This window comes from Homo sapiens, chromosome 7 (genome assembly GCF_000001405.40).
Source record: "Homo sapiens chromosome 7, GRCh38.p14 Primary Assembly".
Classification (NCBI taxonomy): domain Eukaryota; kingdom Metazoa; phylum Chordata; class Mammalia; order Primates; family Hominidae; genus Homo; species Homo sapiens.
The window spans coordinates 69281905-69306239 of NC_000007.14; the positions used below are offsets into that span (position 1 = coordinate 69281905).

Sequence of the window (24335 nt, forward strand, 5' to 3'; positions counted from 1 at the left end):
AGCTGGAGTGCAGTGGTGCAATCATAGCTTACTGCAGCCTCCAACTCCTGGGCTCAAGCAATCCTCCCACCTCAGTCTCCCAAGTAGCTAGGAATACAGGCGTATACCACCACACCTGGCTAATTTTTAAAAATTTATTTAGAGACGAGGTCTCACTACGTTGCCCAGGCTGATCGTCAATGCCTGGGCTCAAGCGATCCTCCCACCTCAGCCTCCCAAAACACTGGAATTATACAGGTGTGAGCCATCTTGCCCAGCCCTCCGTTTGCATTTTTAGGTCTAAACCACAGTCATGGACCCTGTGAGGTATAATCACGATGAAGGGGAGTTCAGAGCTCACCAGGATCCCTGGCCTCACATCCCCTCTAGTCAGCAATAGGTGAGCCCATTTCCTCTCTACTTGCCCTACCCTGGGGACCCTCCTCCTGCAGACAAGGACACCAGCTCTCAATCATCAGTCTAGTCTTGCTCCTTATCCTGCTCTGAGGAACAGAGAGGCCAGTGTGGCTGGAGCACAGTGAGTGAGAGAACCAGGGATTGGAGACACCAGTGGAACCCACATGATGCATGGCCTTGGAGTCATGCAGAGAAGTCTGGGATTGTCTAAAAGCAAGGGGAGCCTGGCGCAGTGGCTCCCACCTATAATCCCAACACTTTGAGAGGCCAAGATGGGAGGATCACTTGAGGCTAGGAGTTTGAGACCAGCCTGGGCAACATAGTGAGACCCTGTGTTTACAAAAAAAAAAAAATAATAAATTAGCTGGGCATGGTGGCACATGCCTGTAGTCTCAGGTACTCTAGAGGCTGAGGTGAGAGGATCACTTGAGTCCAGGAGTTCGAGGCTGCAGTGAGCTATGATCACACCACTGCACTCTAGCCTGGGCCACAGAGCAAGACCTTGTCTCTAAAATAAATAAATAAATAAAAATAAAAGTAAGGGGAAGTTGATGAGAATAATAAGCAAAATAATAGCTAGCCATTGTATTTATAGCAAGGTGCATATGTTTACTAAGACTTATATGTATAGTAAATTAACATTAACTATCAGGTATTGTTATAAGTACTTTATTTACACCAAATCAATTCTCAAAAATTTGTGTGAGGTAGGTACCATTGTCCCCATCTTACAGCCGAGGAAACTGAGGCACAGGGAGGTTAAGGAGCTTGCCAAGCTCACAGAGCCTGTAGGAGGTGGAAGCCGGAATTCAAATCCAGGCCATCTGGTTTTTCAGTTCCTGTAGGAAGCACTGGGCTGTAATGTATTTCCTGCCGAGGATTGCACAAAAAAAGAATTATTTGGACTTTAGCAGGAAGGTGGATTGGGGAGGGGTGAGCAATGGAAATAACAGATTAATTGAGAGGTCTTTATAGAATTCAGGTAGGAGATGTTGGTGGTGGACATAGGGTGGTAGCAATGAAAAACAGAGAAAAATGAACAGATTTAAGATACATTTGCGATTTGGGAAGAATGAAAGCTGATTCCTAGCTTTTGAGCTTGAGCAACTAAGTAGATCGCCATGCCTTTGATGACACAGGAACAGGCTTGGAGGTGGAAAGTCCCCAGAACCCAGTATCCTTGCCCTTGGATAGTCTCTGAGCCCATGTCAATCCCGCAGCCACATGCTAGAGAAAGCCTAGCACACGGGTGCCAAGGTTAGCCTGCACTGGTGAGCCCATGCCAAGAACCACAAAAGCCTCATTTTCTTTAAAACACAGGGCTTGGCTGAATTCCCCACCTAGACAGAGGCAAGCGCATTACTTCATCTTGTGAGCTGCATTACAGCCTCTGTTTTCGTGTATCTATTAGCGAGGCCTCTCAGCCGAAAATCCAGCCAGCCCATCAATCACTCCTCCCGGAGGCCCACAAACCAGGCAGCAGAGGCCGAAATCCCAGTAGGCATCTGTCAGCATTTGCCCATGGGACCAGGCCCCAAAGACTTCCCTGTTTATGCATAGGAGGTCTTGTTTCTTTATATTTTTAATTAAAAGCAGATTTTTATCAATCCCCCCACAAAATCTATTGGGGGAACTTTAATTTTGCTTCCAATCTCCCTATTTAATACTCCCCTAGTGCCCATAAAAAGCTGTGGTGTTTCAGTTCATGATTTGAATCTTTACAGATAATTAGTTGGCAGAACGACTTGGAGAGAGAAGCAGGTATATATTTTCACGACTTGGTCAGGAGTGGGTGGGAAAGTGGTGGGAGAAGCATCCCCAGGCAGTCTTGGCACATTTTGGCTCATGAAACATCAACAGCAATTCATTTAAAGACATGTTCATTTAGGTTCTTTGGCTGCTGCCATAAAAAGTGCTTTTCCCCCTTATTTCTGGCATGTCTTTATTAGAACACCTCTAGGCTCTTCCACCTTCGACTCCCCTTTCACCGTCTGTAATCATTTGACTTAACCTGCTCCCGCCACCTCAGCCTGGCCCTGAACCTGCAATCTTCTTCTCTGCAATTGTCTTTCCTGCAATGCGCTTTTCTCCTGCCTTCTCCACCTCCTCCCTCTTGATCAGCTTGCACCTCACAGTCCCCTCCTTCCCCTCCTGTCCCCCATTCCTTCCCCTTTCAGGCTCAACTGCTATTCCCATTAACTGACCACGTTGTGTGTGGGTCAGAAGATTTGTTGGAACAAATGTACTCACCAAAGCCTGATGAGAATCTTGTGAAATGACAGTTTTACACACACACACAACAACATCTGTACTCGCTCACCCCCACTCACACACATGCTTCTTTGACATCTGAAGAATCTGAGGCTCCTAGAGGTTACAAATTTTACTCAAGTCCTTTTCCCCCTCTTTCCCTTCCTTTTCACTCTCCATTATCCTTCATCTCAGTTAAAAAAAATATGTACGCTGGGTGCAGTGGCTCACGCCTGTAATCCCAGCACTTTGGGAGGCTGAGGGGGACGGATCACCCTGAGTTCAGGAGTTTAAGACCAGCTTAGCCAACATGGCAAAACCCCATCTCTACTAAAAATATAAACATTATCCGGGCGTGGTGGTGCATGCCTGTAATCCCAGCTACTCAGGAAAATGATTTGAACCTGGGAGGCGGAGGTTGCAGTGAGCCAAGATCGCACCAGTGTACTCCAGCCTAGCCTGAGCAACAGAGTGAGACTCTGTCTCAAAAAAACAAAATGCAAATACATGAATAGATACACATACAGACATATAGGTAGACGGTCAAAGAGACAGGTACACAGAGGGACAGACAGACTGACAGAAGGTCATACACGAGGATAGTTACATAAATAGAAGAAAGGTAGACAAACACAGATAGATGATAGATAATAGATAGATGATATACAGATAGATAAATAGATGATAGATAGATAGATAGATAGATAGATAGATAGATAGATAGATAGAGACAGATAGAGAGATGATTTGGCTCTGTGTCCCCACCCAAATCTCACTTTGAAGTGTAATTCCCATAATCTCCACATGTCAAGGGCAGGACCAGGTGGAGGTAATTGAATCATGGGGGCAGCTTTCCCCATGCTGTTCTCGTGACAATGAGTGAGTCTCACAAGATCTGATGGTTTTATAAGCATCTTGCATTTCCCCTGCTTTCACTCATTCTCTCTCCTGCCGCCCTGTGAAGAGGTGCCTTCCACCATGATTGTAAGTTTCCTGAGGCCTCCCCAGCCATGTGGAGCTGTAAGTCAATTAATCTTCTTTTCTTTATAAATTAACCAGTCTCGGGCATTTCTTCATAGCAGCTTGAGGACAGACTAATATAGATAGATAGATAGATAGATAGATAGATAGATAGATAGATAGATAGATGATAGATAGATGATACATATATACATACATGGATAGATACATAGATATGATAGATAAATGAGAAAGAGACTGCAATAGCTGGCAAAAATCAACCAAATATCCCCTCCATCTTTTGTCCTTTTTCACATGAAGCTCTCCCATTTGCATTTCTTACTCTACTTCTTCTCCTGTAATCTTCTGCTAGGTGGAATTGTAACTTGATGAAAACTCCATGAGGTAGATTTTAAAGACTGGGAACAATAAGAAGTAGCTAAGAGGGCTGTGTGGTGGCCCAGGTGTCAATCACAACAAATGAGCCAGGGGTGAGAAAGCTCTTCCTTTGTAAACAGTCAGATGAGCCAGGGGGTGGGAAAGCTCTTCCTTTGTAAACAGTCAGGTTCTCACATGTGGGAGGGTGTCAGATCAATTCATAATTCAACAGGGTTTAATGTGCAAGGGGAGGTGCCTTACCATGCATTTGAATTACCCAGAGGACTTCTTAACCCACAGATTGTTAAGCTCTACCCCAAGAGTTTCTGCTTCCACAGATCTGGGTAGGGCCTGAGAATTCACATTTTCTGGATAATGCTGATTGTTGCTGGTCCAGGGACCTCACTTGGAGAACTGCTGCTGTAAAATAATTTTTCAGAGGCTATTTTGGCTACTATGTTGATGTTCAATCATGTCCCTTTTAATTAAATCCTATTATTCAGCATATTTGAAAATGAAGGGCCAGGTGCAGTGGCTCACGCCTGAAATCCCAACACTTTGGGAGGCCGAGGCAATCAGATCACTTGAGGGCAGGAGTTCGAGACCAGCCTGGCCAACATGATGAAACCCCATCTCTACTAAAAATACAAAAATTAGCCGAGCGTGGTGGTGCACACCTGTAATCCCAGCTACTTGGGAAGCTGAGGCAGGAGAATCGCTTGAACCCAGGAGGTGGAGGTTGCGGTGAGCTGAAATCGTGTCATTGCACTCCGGCCCGGGCAACAAGAGTGAAAGTCCTTCTCAAAAAAAAAAAAAAAAAAAAAGGAAAAAGAAAAAGAAAGAAAATTTTGTTTAATACACCCCTAGGCTTCCAAGTTACCAGATCTTTTGGGCCTGAATCAAGAGATGGTTTGACCCTCCCCACAACATCACATTCAAAATCATTCCTCTCAACAGGACAAAATTGGCAGGGAGCCAGTGCAAAATGAAAATGTAGGACCTCTTATTTAAAAATGATTACGAATTTCAAGACAGCGATAGCAGAGCATCAACCAAGTGCCTGACCCTGTGCGACTGTGTAGGTTGCACCCAACCAGTGTTGCTAGACGGAGCTGATAGACCCAACATTCTTGTCCCACTCTGGGGAAGTTCTGTTCTTGTCCAGCATTTTGTGCATGGGATTAAGGGGTGGTCCTTGGGTCCACAGTCTTCCTGGGAGTTCATCAGCTCCAGTACAAACAGTCCTTGCCCTCCATTCATGAGGGGCTCATTTGAAACTGCATCCCACAGGGCTCTCCCTGATCTGATTAAAAACTCAAGGCAGGTGGGTAGAAGAAGAGGCCTCCTAGGAATTTCTCTCTTTTTTCTTTTCTTTTCTTTCTTTTTTTTTTTTTTTTTTTAGACAGAGTCTTACTCTGTCACCCAGGCTGGACTGCAGTGGCACAATCTCAGCTCATTGCAACCTCCACCTCCTGGGTTCAAGTGATTCTTCTGCCTCAGCCTCCTGAGTAGCTGAGACTACAGGCATGCACCACCACACCCGGCAAATCTTTGTATTTTTAGCAGAGACGGGTTTTCACCATGTTGGCCAGGCGGTCTTGAACTCCTGACCTTAAGTGATTCCCCTGCCTCGGCCTCCTAAAGTGCTGGGATTACAGATGTAAGCCACAATGCCTGGCCTCCCCTTAGGAATTTCTCACACTCGCTTCCTCCTCCTGAATGATTGCTAACTCCCTCCAACAGCCATGCGTGCATTTCCTTCCTTCCTTCCATCCTTCCTTCCTTCCTTCCTTCCTTTTTTTGAAATGGAACCTCACTCTTTCTCCCAGGCTGAAGTGCAGTGGAGTGATCATGGCTCACTGCAGCCTTGAATTCCTGGGCTCAAGTGATCCTCCTGCCTCAGCCTCCTGAGTAGCTGGGACTACAGGCATGTGCCACCACACCTGGGTAATTTTTCATTTAAGTTTTTGTAGAGCTAGGGAGTGGCTGTGTTGCCCAGGCTGGTCTTAAACTCCTGGTCGCAAGCAATCCTCCCGCCTCAGCCTCCCAAAGTGCTGGGATTACAGGTGTAAGCCACCACGCCTGGCCTATCTAGCATCTTAAAATTGAATTGAACTGATTTCCAAGCAGATGCCCATGAACATGAGCATTTCCTGTTTGAAGGAAAGAGACAGCGAAGTCTTAAGAACCACACCCTGTTTCTAAAAATGGGTCAGCTCATTACTGGCAGGCATTCTCCGAGGTCTCGAGGGCAAAATAAGCCAAATACAAAATGGCTATTAACTTCCTGAAGTTTCAAACCAGCTGGGGAAATTAGAAAAACTAATAGAAAAATAGATCTTGCAACCCTGAAACCAAAGTAAATGAAAAAGTTTCGAGATGAAGTCCATCACAAGGGAGAGAGTTGCCTCCCCAGGACGGCGTCTCTCTAGAGGGACTGAGTTCCAAACCCCAGTGCAGAAAGGTTGTTAAGGAAAATCAAAGAAGGTTCTGGAATTTGGGTTGCATATTAAAATCACCTAGGGAGCTTTAAAAGGGAAAGACAAAACTGAACCCAGACACTACCACAGGCAATTTGATAAGGATTTTTACTCCATAACTTTTTAACATTTTAGATAGAAAATTTTAAGAACACACAATTTACAGAGATCACCATGATGAACCCTCATGTACCTCATCAAATATCAGTAACTCACAACTACGGATCAATCTTGTGTCAACCTCTGCTTCCACCCACTTCCCTCTCCACCCCAAAATAATAATTTTTTTTTTTTGAGATGGAGTTTCACTCTTGTTGCCCAGGCTAGAGTGCAGTGGTGAAATCTCGGCTCACTGCAACCTATGCCTCCCAGGTTCAAGTGATTCTCCTGTCTCAGCCTCCCAAGTAGCTGGGATTACAGGCATCTGCCACCACACTCAGCTAATTTTTGTATTTTTAGTAAAGACAGGATTTCCTCATGTTGGCCAGGCTGGTCTCCAACTCATGACCTCAGGTGATCCACCGGCCTTGGCATCCCAAAGTGCTGGGATTGCAGGCATGAGCCACTGGGCCTGGCCCAAAAATAATTATTTTGAAGCAAATTCCAGATGCCATATTTACTTGATATTCAGATTATATTTCCTAAAAAAAGAGAACACTTTAAAAAAAAAAACCACAATATCATTATCACACAAAAAATTAATAATCTCTCATATAACAATAATTTCTCAAATAATCAGTCAAAATCTAATTTCCCCTGTTGTTTTATAAACATATATACACATTATTTTATATACATACATACACATTTTATATACATCATTATATATACACATTATATACACAATACATATATATGTCTTTAATATATATTATCGATATTATTTTAAAGATTAAATAATATATAATATATATTATAGACATATATGTATGTATGTGCATGTGTATATAATGTGTATATACACGTTCCAGCCTGTCACCTAGGCTGGAATGCAATGGCACAGTCATTGCCTCCCTGCAACCTTGAATTCCTAAGCTCAAGTGTTGAGCAGCTGGGACTACAAGCACACACCACCACACCCAGCTAATTTCTTTGTATTTTTTGTAGAGATAGGATCTCACTATGTTGCCCAGGCTAGTATTTAATTCCTGGCCTCAAGAAATGGTCCTGCCTCAGCCTCCCAAAGTGCTGGGATTACAGGTGTAAGCCACCATGCCTGACTAGAATATTGTCTTTTTGAAATTCCTGATACACTAATGAATCTGGTCAATGATTATTAGTGACTGTTACCATCACAAAAAAGAGGCAATGAGACATGAAGTATCTTTGATGTGAGTATACACCACTACCTATGAAGTAGTCTTATCAAATAATTCAAAATTGAAATGTATTAGGTCTCCAGATCTAACTACCAATTTTCAGCAAATACAGGGACAGTGTGTTAAATTACATCATGGAGCTTCAATCAGCAAAATCTGGATGAAAAGAAACTCTGCAAGACACTGTCCTCATTTCTTCTTTAAAAAATTGCTCAGTAAAAAGGAAAGGAAGAGGAGTAACTTATAGATTAAAAGAAATTTACCAGCCGGGTGCTATGTAATCATGCCTGTAATCCCAGCACTTTGGGAGTTCAAAGCAGGCAGATCACTTGAGGCCTGGAGTTCAAGACCATCCTGGCCAACAAGCCGAAACCTGTCTCTACTAAAAATACAAAAAATTAGCCAGGCATCGTGGCATGTGCCTGTAATCCCAGCTACTCGGGAGGCTGAGGCAGGAGAATTGCTTGAATCCGGGAGGCGGAGGCTGCAGTGAGCTGAGATCACGCCACTGCACTCCTACCAGGGCCACAGAGTGAGACTCTGTCTCAAAAAAACAAAAAACAAAAAAAATTCAATTCTATGGATTTAGAATTGTTTGCTAGAATGCTTCCATAAAGAGAAACGTTCTTTTATCCACTTTGTGGATAAGGAAATATACGTGTATAGTGCATATGCATATGCACATATAAGGTATGGTTCAAATAAGAAAGGCAGAATAAATACTTGATAACTTCACTTCATTTACCAGCTTCCAAAAGAAGGAACTGGATCCCTAGCATTCTCCCAAGGTGACCGAAGGTTTGTAGTTGTGGTTTCTTCCAGTATCATTAAGAACTCACTAATATGAACATATTTGATGGCTTCAATCCGCTGCTATTATTACTCTTATTCTGATTGAATTACCCTACCTTTGGCAGGGAGAGTGTATTTAGTTTGGCTCCTGAGTCCTTCTGAGATGATCCTTCTGTTGTCATCGCTAACAGATGATCCTTGTGTCTGGTGTGGCAAGATGTTCCAGACTTATGTATACATTCCTGCCCCAAACCTAGAATTTAGGCAGTTTATTTCTTTAAGAGGCGCTGGTTTGTTTTTGTGCAAAATAGTATTTAGAGATGACAATCTGGGGGCTAAGGGTACTTATTGCTACTGAGTTGGTAACTGTTTCTAGACCTTTTTAGAGGACAGAACTATAAAAAGTGCTTTGTTTTTGAAGAAAATATGAGTTTATATCATATTTCTAATTCAAATTCTGGACTACAGAGTTCTTAGTTCATTGGTTTTACATGTGTAAACTCTCGTGTTAAAAAAAGAAATCTGTTTATAATTATTCATTTGTTTTATCCCATACAACACACAATAGTCTCCAAAGATGGTATCAACTACTATCAACAATATGATTACTGAAAACAGTTTAAATTTTTCCCAGCTTTTTGTCCTTAGGGTATATTTTACTAAGGATGTATAGTCAACTTTCTACATTTTTAAACTCTTGAGAACAGATACTGCACTTGATCTAACAGCGTAGATCAAGAACAGATACTAACTTTGAATCCCAGCTCTGCCCTTAACTTATGCCTCATAAAATCAGTTATAATAGTTCCTACCTTATAGATTTCTTGAGAGATTAAATGAGCTAATATATGTAAGTGCTTCAATCAGTTTTTAGCACATTTCAGGAGATAGAAAAGGCCAAGAAGCAATAAATTACTACATTTTACAGGTACTTGGAATCGTTAATTCTTTCTGTTTTATTCCAACCAGATAAAATATTTGGATTCATTTGTTTCATTTTATCTTCATATTTTGGAATTGCTTATTTTTAATTAATTTGGTTTTACAATTACATAAAATATTTATATGGTTCAAAAGACAAAAAGTCAAGTCAAAAAATGGTGCAAAGAAGTTCAGCTTCTTATCCCTGCCCCTACCCCAATTCTACTCCCTCTCTCTTCCTACAGGGATCCTTTTTATTAAATTTAATTTTATAGTTTATATATTTTAATATAAGGACATTTACATGTATATCTATGTATACATACACACATATATAAGGAAATATACATATATACATGTAAAGAAATGTTATATGTATTTTCTTATCCTTTTTTTTTTTTTTTGAGATGGAGTTTCACTCATTACCTAGGCCTGAGTGCAATGGCACGATCTCAGCTCACTGCAACCTCTGCCTTCTGGGTTCAAGCAATTCTCCTGCCTCAGCCTCCTGAGTACAGGCACATGCCCAGTTATTTTTGTATTTTTAGTAGGGATGGGGTTTCACCAACTTGGCCAGGCTAGTCTCGAACTCCTGACCTCAGGTGATCCGCCCGCCTCCGCCTCCCAAAGTGCTGGGATTACAGGCGTGAGCCACCGTGTCCAGCCCATGTATTTTCTATATATATATATGTGTATATATATGTATATAGACATATATTTCTTATATTAAGGAAATATACATGTATATATGTATATTTCTTTATATTAAGGAATATGCATATACATGTATTTTCCTTATAATAAAACATAAAAGAATATACATGTATATGCGTATACTTTAAGGAATGCACGTATGCATATATACATGTATGTTTACTTATATTAAAATATAAATACATATACACATAGAAACATATATACATACATATGTAATGTGATTTATGTCACACATATAAACATGATCCTTCCCTTTCTTGAATGAAAGCAGCATACCACACACTTTGCTTTTTTCACTCCCTGCTGGAAATCCTTCCCTATGCCATGTGGAGATCTTCCTCATTCCTTTTTAGTAGTCTGTCATGGGAACATGCCATAGCTCTCTTTCCGGGTTATTTCCAGTTTTTTGCTATTACAAACAGAGCTGCAATGCATGACCTTATGTGAATGACTTTTCATATTTTCAGGCTCTCTAGTGAATCGAATGTGCAACCGGGGTTGAGAACTTCTGATCTAGAGGGAAAGCAGGTTGTTAAGAGATCTAACTTGGAATCCCAGCTCTGCCCTTAACTTACATCTCATAAAATGTAAGTAACAGTAGTTCCTACCTTGTAGACTTGTTGAGAGGGTTAAATGAGCTAATATATGTTAAGTGTTTAAATCAGTTCTTAGCGCATTTTAGGAGATGCATATTGTTATTGTTATTATTGTTGTATTAGTCTGTTCTCATGCTGCTAATAAAGACATACCCAAGAATGAGTAATTTATAAAGGAAGGAGGTTTAATGGACTCACAGCTCCACACAGCTGGGGAGACCTCACAATCATGGTGGAAGGCGAAAGAGGAGTAAAATCACAACGTACATGGTGGCAGGCAAGAGAGCTTGTGCAGGGGAACTCTTATTTATAAAACCATCAGATCTCATGAGACTTATTCATTACCACAAGAGCAGGGTGGGGGAAGCTACCCCCATGATCTAATTATCTCCACCTGGCCCCATCCTTGACACGTGGAGATTATTACAATTCAAGATGAGCCAAACCATATCAGTTGTGAATCTTCAAATTTTTTCCTTTTTTCCTTCCTTCCTAGCTTCCTTCCTTCCTAGTTTCTTCCTTCCTAGCTTCCTTCCTTCCCTCCCTCCCTCCCTCCCTCCCTTCCTTCCTTCCTTTCCAGAGACAGGGTCGTGCCCTGTTGCCCAGGTTGGAGTGCAGTGGTGTGATCATAGCTCATTGCAGCCTCCACCTCCTGGTCTCAGTCGATCCTCCCACCTCAGCCCCCTAAAGGGCTGGGATTACAGGTGCACACCACCATGCACACCCCAAATTTCTTATCTAGCTTCCCTGTTTCAATGGTCCTAACTGCCTCGGGATGTTGGCACAACAAAATTAGATCATGATTGTGAAATTGCTTGAAATAGTTATCATCCCTGAAAATTTGGAGAAAGGGTGTTGTTTTCATCACCATGATTTTAGAGTGGCCTTTTAGGGTGGTGGGACTGTCATCTCTGGAACTGTCTATACAGTTTTCAGACTCAACTAAATCCGTGAGACAACCTGTCAATTCACTCCAACCACTAACTTCATTGATTTCTTTATTTTCTACTAAATTGACAGACTGAGTAAATTGACTAAATTGACTGGCTGTTTTGATATCATTTAGACCTAGCTCAAGTGGTGCTAATCATGAAGGGAGAAATCATTGTTATTGACATTGCAGCAATGATCAAAGACACGCTTAGTGTGGGCTGACAGAGGAGTGCTGGGATCTTACCATGGAACTAGCTTCATGCTTCACCACGCTAAGTTTCAGAGAACAAACTTTGCCCTATCTACTTTGCTGCCGTAGTAGAGGGGTGATTAGAATGGAGGGCAGATCAAGACAAAAAAACTTTGGAAAGAATCCATCCATACATAAGTGCACCAGCTACTCAAGAGACTGAAGCAGGAGAATCGCTTGAGGCCAGGAGTTCGACACCAGCCTGGGCAAAATGGCCAGCCCTCATGTCTCCAAAATATAAAATAACTAGCTGGGCATGGTGGTGCATGCCTGTAGTCCCTGCTACTCAGGAGGCTGAGGTTGGGAGACCACTTGAGACAAGAAGTTTGAGACCAGCCCGGGCAATATAGAAAGACCCCATCTCTACAAAGAAAAATTAAAAATTAGCTAGGTAAGATGACACATGCCTATTGTCCTGGCTACTCAGGAGGCTGAGGCAGGAGAATTGCTTAAGCCCAGGAGATCAAGGCTGCAGTGAGCCAAGATGGTGTCACTGCACTCCATCCTGGGCAACAGAGTGAGAATCTGCACCTAGAAAAAATAAAATAAAAATGTTTTAAAAGAATACGTAAGTGCATATTATTGGTGTGAGTCTATGTGCCAAATTCTGACTGTGTGGAAGAGCTAATGGAGCTGAAGTGACCCAGATACTCACTGTGGTAGGCTAAACAATGGCCCCAAAAGATCTCCCCATCCTAATCCCTGGAATCAATGAATGTTACTTTTCATAGCAAAAGGAGCTTTGAACATGTAGTTGGGTTTTTTTTTGTTGTTGTTGTTGTTTGTTTTGTTTTGTTTGTTTGTTTTTTGAGATCGGGTATCATTCTTATCACCCAGGCTGGAATGCAGTGGTGCGATCATGGCTCACTGCAACTGCCACCTCCCAGGTCCAAGCGAACCTCCTGCCTCAATCTCCCTAGTAGCTGGGATTACAGACACCTGCCACCACACCCAACTAATTTTTGTATTTTTAGTAGAGAAGGATTTCACCATGTTAGCCAGGGTGGTCTCGAACTCCTGACCTCAAGTGATCCACCAGCCTCGGCCTCCCAAAGTGCTGGGATTACAGATGTGAGCCACAGCACCTGGCCTAAAGATGTGACTAAGTTCAGGATCCTGAGATAGGGGATTACACTGGATATCTGGGTGGGTCTCATATAATCACAAGTGTCCTTTTTATTGGAGGGAGTCTTGGGGAGATCTGACTTACAGAAGAGGAGCAGGAGCTGTGAGGACACAAGCAAGGGGCTGAAGTGGTGTGAGGAAGGGGCCATGAGCCAAGCAGTGCAGGCAGATCCCAGAAGCTGGGAAAAGCAGGAAAATGAATTCTCTCCTAGAGCTTCCAGAAGGAGCTGGTCCTGCCAATACCTTGAATTTAGCCCTGCGAAACTTGTTTGATACTTCTGGCTTGCAGGACTCTAAGAGAATAGATTCATACTGTTTTAAGTCACCACGTTTGTGACAATTTCTTAGAAGCAGTAGTCAGGGTTCTATAGAGGGACATAACTAATAGGATATATATATGTCTGCAAGGTGAGGAGCAAGGAGAGCCAGTCTGCGTCCCCAAACTGAAGAACTTGGAGTCCAATGTTCAAGGGCAGGAAGCATCCAGCACGGGAGAAAGATGTAGGCTGGGAGGCTAGGCCAATCTTTTCTTTTCACATTTTTCTGCCTGCTTTATATTTGCTGGCAGCTGATTAGATGGTGCCCACCAGGTGAAGGGTGGGTCTGCCTTCCCCAGCCCACTGACTCAAATGTTAATCTCTTTTGGCAACACCCTCACAGACACACCCAGGATCAATAATTTGTACCCTTCAATCCAATCAAGTTGACACTCAGTATTAACCATCACACAGGAGTTCAGAGCTGCAGTGAGCTATGATCACGAAAGCCACTGTACTCCAGCGTGGGTGACACAGTGAGACCCTGACTCTAACAAATAAATTAAGGCTGTTTTCATTTTATGCCTTTTAGTATAAAGCCATCACCAAGTTCCAGGACAGCTGATCACTTTGGGAGTTCCCTGTGTTACCCACTACCTTCCTTGGGCTATTGTGCCAGTGGGTGACCTTATACCAGAAAGGGATAGCTGATTCTGGTCCCTCCTGCACCCCACAGTGGGAGAGATGAACTCTGCCTTGTGTACAGAGCAGATTGTCATGGAGGTGGCAGAGCAGGCCAGGGAATGGGGCAGGGACAGGGAGGCAGCGTTGGAAGCAGCTGCAGGCTCATTAGGGGCTCTTGGGTGAAATCTGGACCACCCCACTCCTAGCCATATGCTCAGCTGCAAACCACAGCTGCTTGCCAACGAATATTTCCTCTAAACAGCAGCTGCAGAGTCAACATACTCTCCAAGCTCTGGGGGCGACTTCTCTTGCTGCTCAGCCACTTGCTTTGAAGTCCAAATGAGAAGGCATCCTGTTGGCCAAGCATCAAGAAGAAGGAGTAGGGTTTTCAATCAGGCCAGTGCTTTTCTGTGATTGCACTGTAGAGGAATGAGGGGGAAAGAAATAGTGGATTCGCTGGGAAGGCACTGTCCTGTGTTGTTCCACATCCCAGAGGTCTTCTTGCCTTTACTCAACTACAAGCATTGCAATCTCTTATCTAAATACAGCTTCTCACCTGGGCATTCGAGATTCTCAACTATCTTGTCCCTACTAACTGCTCCAAGGATTTTTTCAATTCCTCCACTCAGTGGGCACTCATTGGCACCCAAGTATGCCACTGCATCAGAATGGCATACTTGGGGGTTTCATGATGGAAGTTTCATGTGAAAGCAGCTTTGACTATCTTTTCGGTGTTGTCTCCCAGTCCTCATATGTCTAGCACAGGGTGGGTACCGTAAATACTTATGAAGGGAAGAATGCCACTCACTCAATACCCGCTAGGTACTAAACACAGTGCTAGGCATTTATTGGTGTGAGATCCTAGCCAAAGTTTCTGTACCTCCTTGTGTCTGTAAGTCTGAAACGGAGGCAAATATACCATATATCATCAAGGACATCTTCAATCTTAAAAATATAGAACTCCAGCCTGGAAAACGTAGCAAAACTCCATCTCTACAAAATAAAAATGAAAATAATCAGCAGGGCATGGTAGTGCATGTCTGTAGGCCCAGACACTCAGGAGATTGAGGTGGGAGGATCACTTGAGCTTGGGAGTTTGAGGCTGCAGTAAGCTATGATTGTACCCCTGCACTCCAGCCAACGCAACAGAGCCAGGCCCTGTTTCCAAAATAAATAAATAAAAATATAAAATAATAGTACCTATATATCCAGACTTTAGGAACCTCCTAGAGAAAATTGGATTAATAATATGTTCAGAGAGTTGATGTGAGAATCAAATGAAACTATATATATATGGCACCAAGTTCAGTCCCTGACACAAAGTACAGTCCAAAATGCTAGCCATTATTATTATGTGGCTATTATTACAAAGATTAATAGAATGGCAATCAATGCTGGAGATAAACAAGTAAACAATTGCAGTCCAAACTGAAAGGCACCATCACAAAATTATGAACAAAGCCCTGTGTGGTCCCAGAGGCTCTATCTTAAAAATGTGTCTAGAGGCCAGGCGCAGTGGCTCACACCTGTAATCCCAGTACTTTGGGAGGCCGAGGCAGATGAATTACTTGAGGTCAGGGGTTCGAGACCAGCCTGGCCAACATGGTGAAACCCTGTCTCTAGTAAAAATGTAAAAATTAGCCAGGTGTGGTGGTGGGCGCCTGTAATCCCAGCTACTCAGGAGGCTGAGGCAGGAGAATTGCTTGAATTCATGAGGCAGAGGTTGCAGTGAGCCAAGATTGCACCACTGCACTCCAGCCTGGGTGACAGAGCAAGACTCCGTCTCAAAAAAAAAAAAAAAAAAAAAAATGTGTCTAGAGCCAGGATCTTTTTACACCATCCCCACCAGTAGCATTCTAGTACAAGTGACCTATGTTTCTTACTTAGATTATTTCAGTTGCCTCCTAACTTGTCTCCCAGCCCTAACAGCTGCCCTTTCCCTGTCCTATCACCTACAATCTATTCTCAGCACAGCAGCCCAGGATGTTGCTAGAACTTGAGTCTGCTCATATCTCCTCTGTTTAAAACTCTCCAGTAGCTCTCCATGTCACTCCAAGTAAACACCAGAATGACTACTATCGTCTCCTGCGAGAGTTAATTTTAGGTTAACTTGACTAGGTCATGTGGTGCCCAGACATTTGGTCCAACATTATTCTCGATGTGCTCATGAGGGTGTTTCCGCATGAGATGGACATTTGCGCTGGTACACTGAGTCAAGCAAATTGCCCTCCCTAATGTACATGGGCCTCCTGCAGCCAACAGAAGACCTGAATAGATGAAAAGGCTGACTGAGAAGGAATTCTTCCTGCCTGACTGCATGAGCTGGGACATCAGTCCTTTCCTTCATTCACGCTCGAACTGAAACATTGGGTCTTCGGGGGACTTGAGCCTGCCACTCTCAGAATGGAACTTACACCATCAGCTCTCCTGAGTCTCCTGCTTGACAATTGCAGATATTGGCATTTCTTAGCCTTCATAATCACATGAGCAAATTCCACATAATAAATGCCATTATCAACCTCTGTCTCCTTCTCTCTCTATATATATATACATATACATAACTTCATACATATATACAGAGCTGACCCTTGAATGATGCAAGGGTTAGGGGATTCAACTTCCCGTGCAGTCAAAAATCGCCTATAACTTTTTTTTTTTTTTTTTTTGAGACAGGGTCTCACTGTCACCCAGGCTGGAGTGCAGTGGTGCTATCTCAGCTCACTGCAACCTCCGCCTCTCAGGTTCAAGCGATTCTCCTGCCTCAGCCCCCCAAGTAGCTGGGACTACAGATGCATGCTGCATGCTAATTTTTGTATTTTTTGGTAGAGATGGGGTTTCGACCATGTTAGGCAAGCTGGTCTCAAACACCTGACCTCAAGTGATCCTCCTGCCTCAGACTGCCAAAGTGCTGGGATCACAGGTGTGAGCCACCACGCCCAGCCCAAAAATCTGTCTATAACTTTTTACTCCCCCAAAACTTCACTATTAATAACCTGCTATTGACCAGAAGCCTTACTGATAACATAGTCAATTAACACATAATTTGTATATTATATTACATACTATATTCTTACAATAACGTGAGCTGAAGAAAATATTATTAAGAAAATTATAAGGAAGAGATAATCTATTATCCATTAAGAAGTGGATCATCGTAAAGGTTTTATCCTCATCCTCATCGTCTTGGCATTGAGGAGGATAAGGGAGAGGAGGAAGAGAAGGGGTTGGTCTTGCTGTCTCAGGGTGGCAGAGGCAGAACAAGATGCACATATACGTGAAGCCATGTTAAACCCATGTTGCTCAATGGTCAACTCTGTGTGTGTGTGTGTGTGTGCGCACACGTGTGTCTCCTATTGGTTCTGTTTCTCCAGAGAACCCTGCCTAATACACCTACAAATTCTAGATGTATCACCTACACCACCATTACCTTTATTTTTGAGATGGAGTCTTGCTCTGTTGCCAAGGCTGGAGTGCAATGGCACCGTCTCAGCTCACTGCAACCTCCGCCTCCCGGGTTCAAGTGATTCTCCTGCCTCAGCCTCCCGAGTAGCTGGGATTACAGGTGCCCACCACTAGGCCCAGCTAATTTTTGTATTTTTAGTAGAGACAGGGTTTCACCATGTTTGCCAGGCTGCTCTCGAACTCCTGACTTCAGGTGATCCACCCACCTCAACTTCCCAAAATGCTGGGATTACAGGCATGAGTTACCGCGTCCAGTCCTGTTACTTTTCTTATCTCAACTCTTTCCATTTTTCCCTTGCTTGTTCTGTTCCAGCAGTTTAACTTGTTGTTCACTAAAGTAAACTTATTGTTTTCCAAAATGAGAAGCCCAGTGAAGCCTCCAGACCTCCGCGCCTCCCATGGCAGAGGGGCCAGTGTCATAGCAGAGGATTTAGTATGCTCTTTTCTCCCGTATCTAAGTGGCACCCACTCTCAACTCCTTCAGGCCCATGTCCAATCTCACGTGATTATGAAGCCTTCCTGGGCTCACCAATATGAAATGGTATACACACAGACACACAGACACATACACACATGCACACACACATATATACACACACACATGCACACACACATACGTGGACACACACACACATCTTTTTATTTTCTTTCCCTTAAAGTGCCATAACTTTCTCTATAGCATTTATCATTATCTGACATACTATATATTTACTTGTTTACTATTTGTTGTTGTTTTTGTTTTCGTTTTTGTTTTTTTGAGACGGAGTCTCGCTCAGTCTCCCAGGCTGGAGTGCAATGGCGTGATCTCGGCTCACTGCAAGCTCCGCCTTCCGGGTTCACGCCATTCTCCTGCCTCAGCCTCCGGAGTAGCTAGGACTACAGGCGCCCGCCACCACGCCCGGCTAATTTTTTGTATTTTTAGTAGAGACGGGGTTTCACCGTGTTAGCCAGTATGGTCTCGATCTCCTGACCTCGTGATCCGCCCATCTCGGCCTCCCAAAGTGCTGGGATTACAGGCGTGAGCCACCGCGCCCGGTGTACTTGTTTATTTAAGGTCTATCTGTTCCCTCTAACTAGAATATAAACACTTTGAGAGTAAGAACTTTGTCTTGCTCACTGCTGTGTTCTCAACATGTAAACTGGTTCTTGGTACAGAGTAAGTGCTCTGTATCTATTTGTTTCTGTTTTTGTTTTTGAGATGGAGTCTCAATCTGTCACCCAGGCTGGAGTGCAGTGGTGCAATCTCGGCTCACTGCAACCTCCACCTCCCGGGTTCAAGGAATTTTCCCTGTCTCAGCCTCTTGAGTAGCTGGGACTACAGGTGCCCGCCACCACCCCCAGGTAATTTTTGTATTTTTTACTAGAGACAGGGTTTCGCCATGTTGGCCAGGCTGGTCTTGAACTGCTGACCTCAGGTGACCTGCCCACCTCAGCCTCCCAAAGTGCTGGGATTACAGGCGTGAGCCACCAGGCACAATGGCTCATACACGTAAGCCCAGTGCTTTGGGAGGTCAAGGTGGAAGGATCACTTGAGGCCAGGAGTTTGAGACTAGCCTGGGCAACATAGCAAGACCCTGTGTCTAAAAATAAATACAAAAAAATATTAACCAGGCATGATGGTGCATGCCTGTAATCCCAGCTACTCTGGTGGCTGAGGTGGGAAGATGGCTTGAGCCCAGGAGTTCAAGGTTGAAATGAGCTATGGTCTACACCACCACAATCCATCCAGGGTGACAGAGTGAGAATCTGTCTCTATTAAAAAAAAAAAAAAATTAAGCAGCAACGAATTTAGGGTTTTGCCCTCCAACAAGGACCTGGATTACAGACACTCTACACTGCTGATGAAGGGCTGATCTTTATGCTTTAACAGCCAGCAAAGCACAGAGTATGTATGACATCCTCATCTATAAATTAAAGAGCCCAACAAGGATATAAGCTTGAGGTAAGAGAAGTGAGTAGCTCCATGCAGGGCCAAGATTTTCCTCAGAAAACAGCCCTGGGTCTGTTCCAACACTGAGATAAATTGGAGACAGAAGCCCTCAAGTCAATGCCAACGAGAACAGCTGCAATATTTTTAGTTGGAAATAACCCACCAGAGCCATCCTATCTCAATGAAGAAATCAAACACAGAAGGTCTCGTTTTTAAGCAGTGTGACATCCTGGTAAAACCTGCAAGAAAAGCTGGTAGTGAAATATTGCCCCCGGTAAGTGAATGAGTTGTCTTTGCTATAAATGGTTGTCAAAAGAAAGAAGTTGCGAAGGTTAAAGTTGTAATGTACATCTTGATCAGGAGGCAAGAAGAAACAAAGAGACTGGAGGCTGGACCTTGAGAGAGCTGGCTCTAGTCTACACTGGGATCGTAGCCAAATGGGAAACCAGGTACTTGCTAATTGTCCTCGCCCATGAAATGGGGCTATTCAATACCCTACCCTACTCCATAGGGTAGCCACGTGAGTCAAATGACGCAAAGTTTGCTGAAGTATCTTAAAAAATTGTAGGCCAGTCACCGTGGCTCATGCCTATAGCCCCAGCACTTTGGGAGGCTGAGGCAGGAGGATCACTTGAGGCCACAAGTTCGAGACCAGCTTGGGCAGCAAAGCAAGACCCTTTCGCTAAAAAAAAAATTTTAAGTTAGCTGTATGTGGTGACTTGCATCTGTATTTCCAGCCACTAGAGAGGCCAAGCCAGGAGGATCGCTTGAGCCCAGGAGTTTGAGGCTGCAGTGAGCTATGATGGTGCTCCAGCCTGAGTGACAGAGTGAGACCTTGTCTTCAAAAATTAATATTAAAAAAATGGTAAGCCCTGGCCAGGCACAGTGGCTCACGCCTGTAATCCCAGCACTTTGGGAGGCTGAGGCGGGCAGATCACGAGGTCAAGAGATCGATACCCTCCTGGCCAACATGGTGAAACCCCGTCTCTACTAAAAATACAAAAATTAGCCAGGTGTAGTGGCACGCACTTGTAGTCCCAGCTACTCAAGAAGCTGAGGCAGGAGAATCGCTTGAACCCGGGAGGCGGAGATTGCAGTGAGCTGAGATCACGCCACTGCACTGCTTTCTGGGGAATAAGCCTAACTAATGCTGTTTGTAGGACACATCTTACATATCTCAGCTATGAAGGTGCTTCCTTCCTCCCTGTCTCTCCTGCCCATCTCAGCTCTGTTACAATCAACAGTGTATCTAACACACTGGACGTGAACACCAAGATCTTGCCTCTTTGGCAAGCCACCTCTTAAGGTCTTATTGACAGTCATAATCAGCTGTTACTAATGAAAAAAGTCATATATGTGGGGGTTGGGCGTGGTGGCTCACGCCTGTAATCCCAGCACTTTGGGAGGCCGAGGCAGGCAGATCATTTGAGGTCAGAGGTTTGAGACCAGCCTGGCCGACATGGTGAAACCCTGTCTCTACTAAAAATAAAAATTAAAAAAAAAAATTATATGTGATTGAAATGACCTATGTTCAAGGCTATTCATCACGGCATTCTTTATAACAACAACAAAAAAAGATTGAAAATAGCTTAAGTGTTTTCTTTAAATAAATTAAGATACCTCCAAAGAATGGAACAATTCCTAAACTATAGGAATCTCTGTATGTCCTTATAAGGCATTACTACCAAAACATATTAAGTTTTTTTTAATGAACAGAATGGCATGCATATACGTAGGCTACTATTTATATAAATAAGGAAGAGAAAAAGAAGATATACGTGTAGGGTTTTTTGCTTGGATATGCATAGAATATCTTTGGAAGTAAACTCATTATATTAGTAATATTAGTTGCTTCCAAGGAGAAGAAATAGGCAATTGATGAATAAATGAATGACTGGTTGGGTGGAAGACAGATGTGGACATTAACTTTTTTTTTTTTTTTTTGCGACAGAGTCTTGCTCTGTCACTCAGGCTGGAGTACAGTGGCACAATTTTGGCTTACTGCATCCTCCACCTCTCAGACTCAAGGGATTCTCCTGCCTCAGCCACCCAAGTAGCTGGGATTACAGGAGCCCACCATCACATCCAGCTAATTTTTGTATTTTTGGGAAAAATAGGGTTTCACCATGTTGGCCAGGCTGGTCTCGAACTCCTGGGCTCAAGTGATCCGCCCACCTTGGCCTCCCAAAGTGCTGGGATTACAGGTGTGAGCCACCACACCTGGCTGACAATAGACTTTTCACTATATATCTTTATACCTTTTGGATTTTGTCCCACAGGAACACATTACCTAAATAAACTAAATTAAAAATAAAAAGACAAAACACATTAGACATGCTCACTGTAGAAAAATTTCAAAATACAGCAAAATATAGAGAATTAATAAGTATAATTCTATAGTTTCATAACTGAAAATAACCATTAATAATGTTTGATGTATTTCTTTCTAGTTGATTTTTTTGCAATTTTTATGTAACTAAGACCGCATGGTATGTAGATTTTTATAATCTACCCTAAAAACAATATCATCAGCATTTTCCCACATCACTAAATGTTAACAGAGTGATTATTTTAATGAACGACTTTGAGTCTATCATATCACTGCACCACGGTTTAACTAATATCCTTGAACATTTAAGCAGTTTCCCATTTTTTATATAATCATCTTCAGGCATTGATCTTGGTCTGCGACTCTGACTATATCCTTAAGCTGAATTCCTAAAAATAGACTTACTGGTTCAAAGGGTATAATTTTTTGTTGTTGTTTCTTGATACACATTGCCAGATTCCCTTCAGAAATCTTGTACTAATTGATAATCCTATCAGCAATGTATGAAAGCCCCCTTTGTGATATAACCCAGAGCTGTTTTGATATCACAGTAGGATGTCCAGAACTCTAGCCATTCTGCAGCTCCAGATGAAAACCAATCAGATGGATAGCCACTATGAGAGCCTGCAGGTGTAAATTACACAACTTTGCTAATTGCCTTGTAAAAACACCTTTTCTGGATTCCTGAGAAAGGTATCCCGAATCTGTAGGTACTGAAAGCACTATTATCACTAAAAATAACACTGTCCCAAGTATCCTGAGAGATACTTTGTCCCTGGCCTGAGAGAAATCTCTGTCATAAAGCAATTTTCTCTACTTACAATTAAACACACCAGGCTTTAAATTCTACCAAACAACTGTGCTGCAAGAAAATACCAACCCTGCATGGCCTTCTTGATTTAAGAAGCAAGACTTGGCTGGGCGCTGTGGCTCATGCCTGTAATCCCAGCACTTTGGGAGGCTGAGGTGGGTGGATTACTTGAGGCCAGGAGTTCGAGACCAGCCTGGCCAACATGGTGAAACCCCATCTCTACTAAAAATATAAAAATTAGCCAGGTGCAATGGCAGATGCCTGTAATCCTAGCTACTTGGGAGGCTGAGGCAGGAGAATTGCTTGAACCTGGGCGGCAGAGGTTGCAGTGAGCCGAGACCACACCACTGCACTCCAGCCTGGGTGACAGAGCAAGACTCTGTCTCAAAGAAAAAAAAAGAAGCAAGACTTTTGGTGTGAACATGGCTAAATAAATAAGTAGCCTCTTCCCCTTTACCTCATTTTACCCCCTTTTCACCTTAGAAATCACACAAAAGCAAAAGGAAAATTATAAACCACACTGATATGGTTTGGCTTTGTGTCCCTACCCAAATCTCATCTTGAATTGTAATCCCCATAATCCCCATGTGTCAAAGGCAGGACCTGGTGGGAGGTGACTGGATCATGGGGGAGGTTTCCCTCATGCTGTTCTTGTGATAGTGAGTGAGTTCTCACTAGATCTGATGGTTTTATAAGTGTTTGACTTTGTCTCCTACACACACTCTCTCTCTTGCTGCCTTGTGAAGAAGTGCCTGCTTCTCCCCTTCCGCCATGACTGTAAATTTCCTGAGACCTCCCCAGCCACGTGGAACTGTCAGTCTGTTAAACCTCTTTCCTTTATAAATTACCCCATCTTAGGTAGTATCTTTACAGCAGTGTGAAAACGGACTAATATATACTCAAATCATTGTTTCCGTGGAATTTGGAGACAGATATATTCCAGATTTCAAAGTACATGGAAGGGGCCTGCTGGGGTTGAATAGAGTTTGTTTTGTCACCTCCAAATCTCATGTTGAAAATTGAAAATTGATCCCCAGTGTTGGAGGTGGGGCCTTGGGGGAGGTCCTGGGGTCCCGGGGAAAGAGCCATCATGAATGTCTTGGAGCCATTCATTCAAGAGTGAGTTCTCACTCTTAGCTCCTGTTAGAATTGGTTGTTGAAAAGAACCTGTCACCTCCTCCTTCTCTCTCTCTGGCTTCCTCTCTCACCATGTGATCAGCACACATTCCCCTTTACCTTCCACCATGAGTGGAAACTTCCTGAGGCCCTGATCAGTAGCAGCTGCTGGCACCATGCTCCTTGTATAGCCTACAGAACTGTGAGCCAAACAAACTTCTTCTCTTTATAAGTTACCCAGCCTCAGTTATTCCTTTTTTTTTTTTTTAATTTTTTTTAGAGACAGGGTCTTGCTCTGTTGCCCAGGCAGGAGTACCTTGTTGCAATCATAGCTCATTGCAGCCTCCAACTCCTGGGCTCAAGAGACCCTTCTGCCTCAGTCTCCTGAGTAGCTAGGACTACAAGGATTTATGCCTCCATGCCCAGCTAATTTTTTCATTTTTAGTAGATGTGGGGGTCTCACTTTGTTGCCCAGGTTGGTCTCGAACTCCTGGCCTCAAGCAATCCTCCCACCTCAGCCTCCCAAAGTGTTAGGATTATAGGAATGAGCCACTGTACCTGGCCAGATATTCCTTTATAGCAACACAAATGGACTAAGACAGGGCACGCAAATTGGCTGAGATTGAACT

The 24335-nt window shown here is 43.3% G+C and overlaps 1 long non-coding RNA gene across 3 annotated transcripts; it reads right to left on the reverse strand.

Moving 5' to 3' along the window:
- Window positions 1-1049: 1049 nt before the first annotated feature.
- Window positions 1050-22262, reverse strand: LOC105375345 (uncharacterized). Of its 3 annotated transcripts, none has more exons than XR_927650.3 (4): window positions 22185-22262; window positions 8692-8828; window positions 4246-4404; window positions 1050-1266 (listed from the first exon to the last, which is right to left on the reverse strand). It is a non-coding gene; the product is annotated as an uncharacterized LOC105375345 (long non-coding RNA). The 3 variants fall into 3 exon arrangements; XR_927651.3 differs by lacking the exon at window positions 4246-4404 and adding an exon at window positions 14341-14477 and having other exon boundaries at window positions 22185-22250; XR_927649.3 differs by lacking the exon at window positions 4246-4404.
- Between the last annotated feature and the right edge of the window lie 2073 nt (window positions 22263-24335).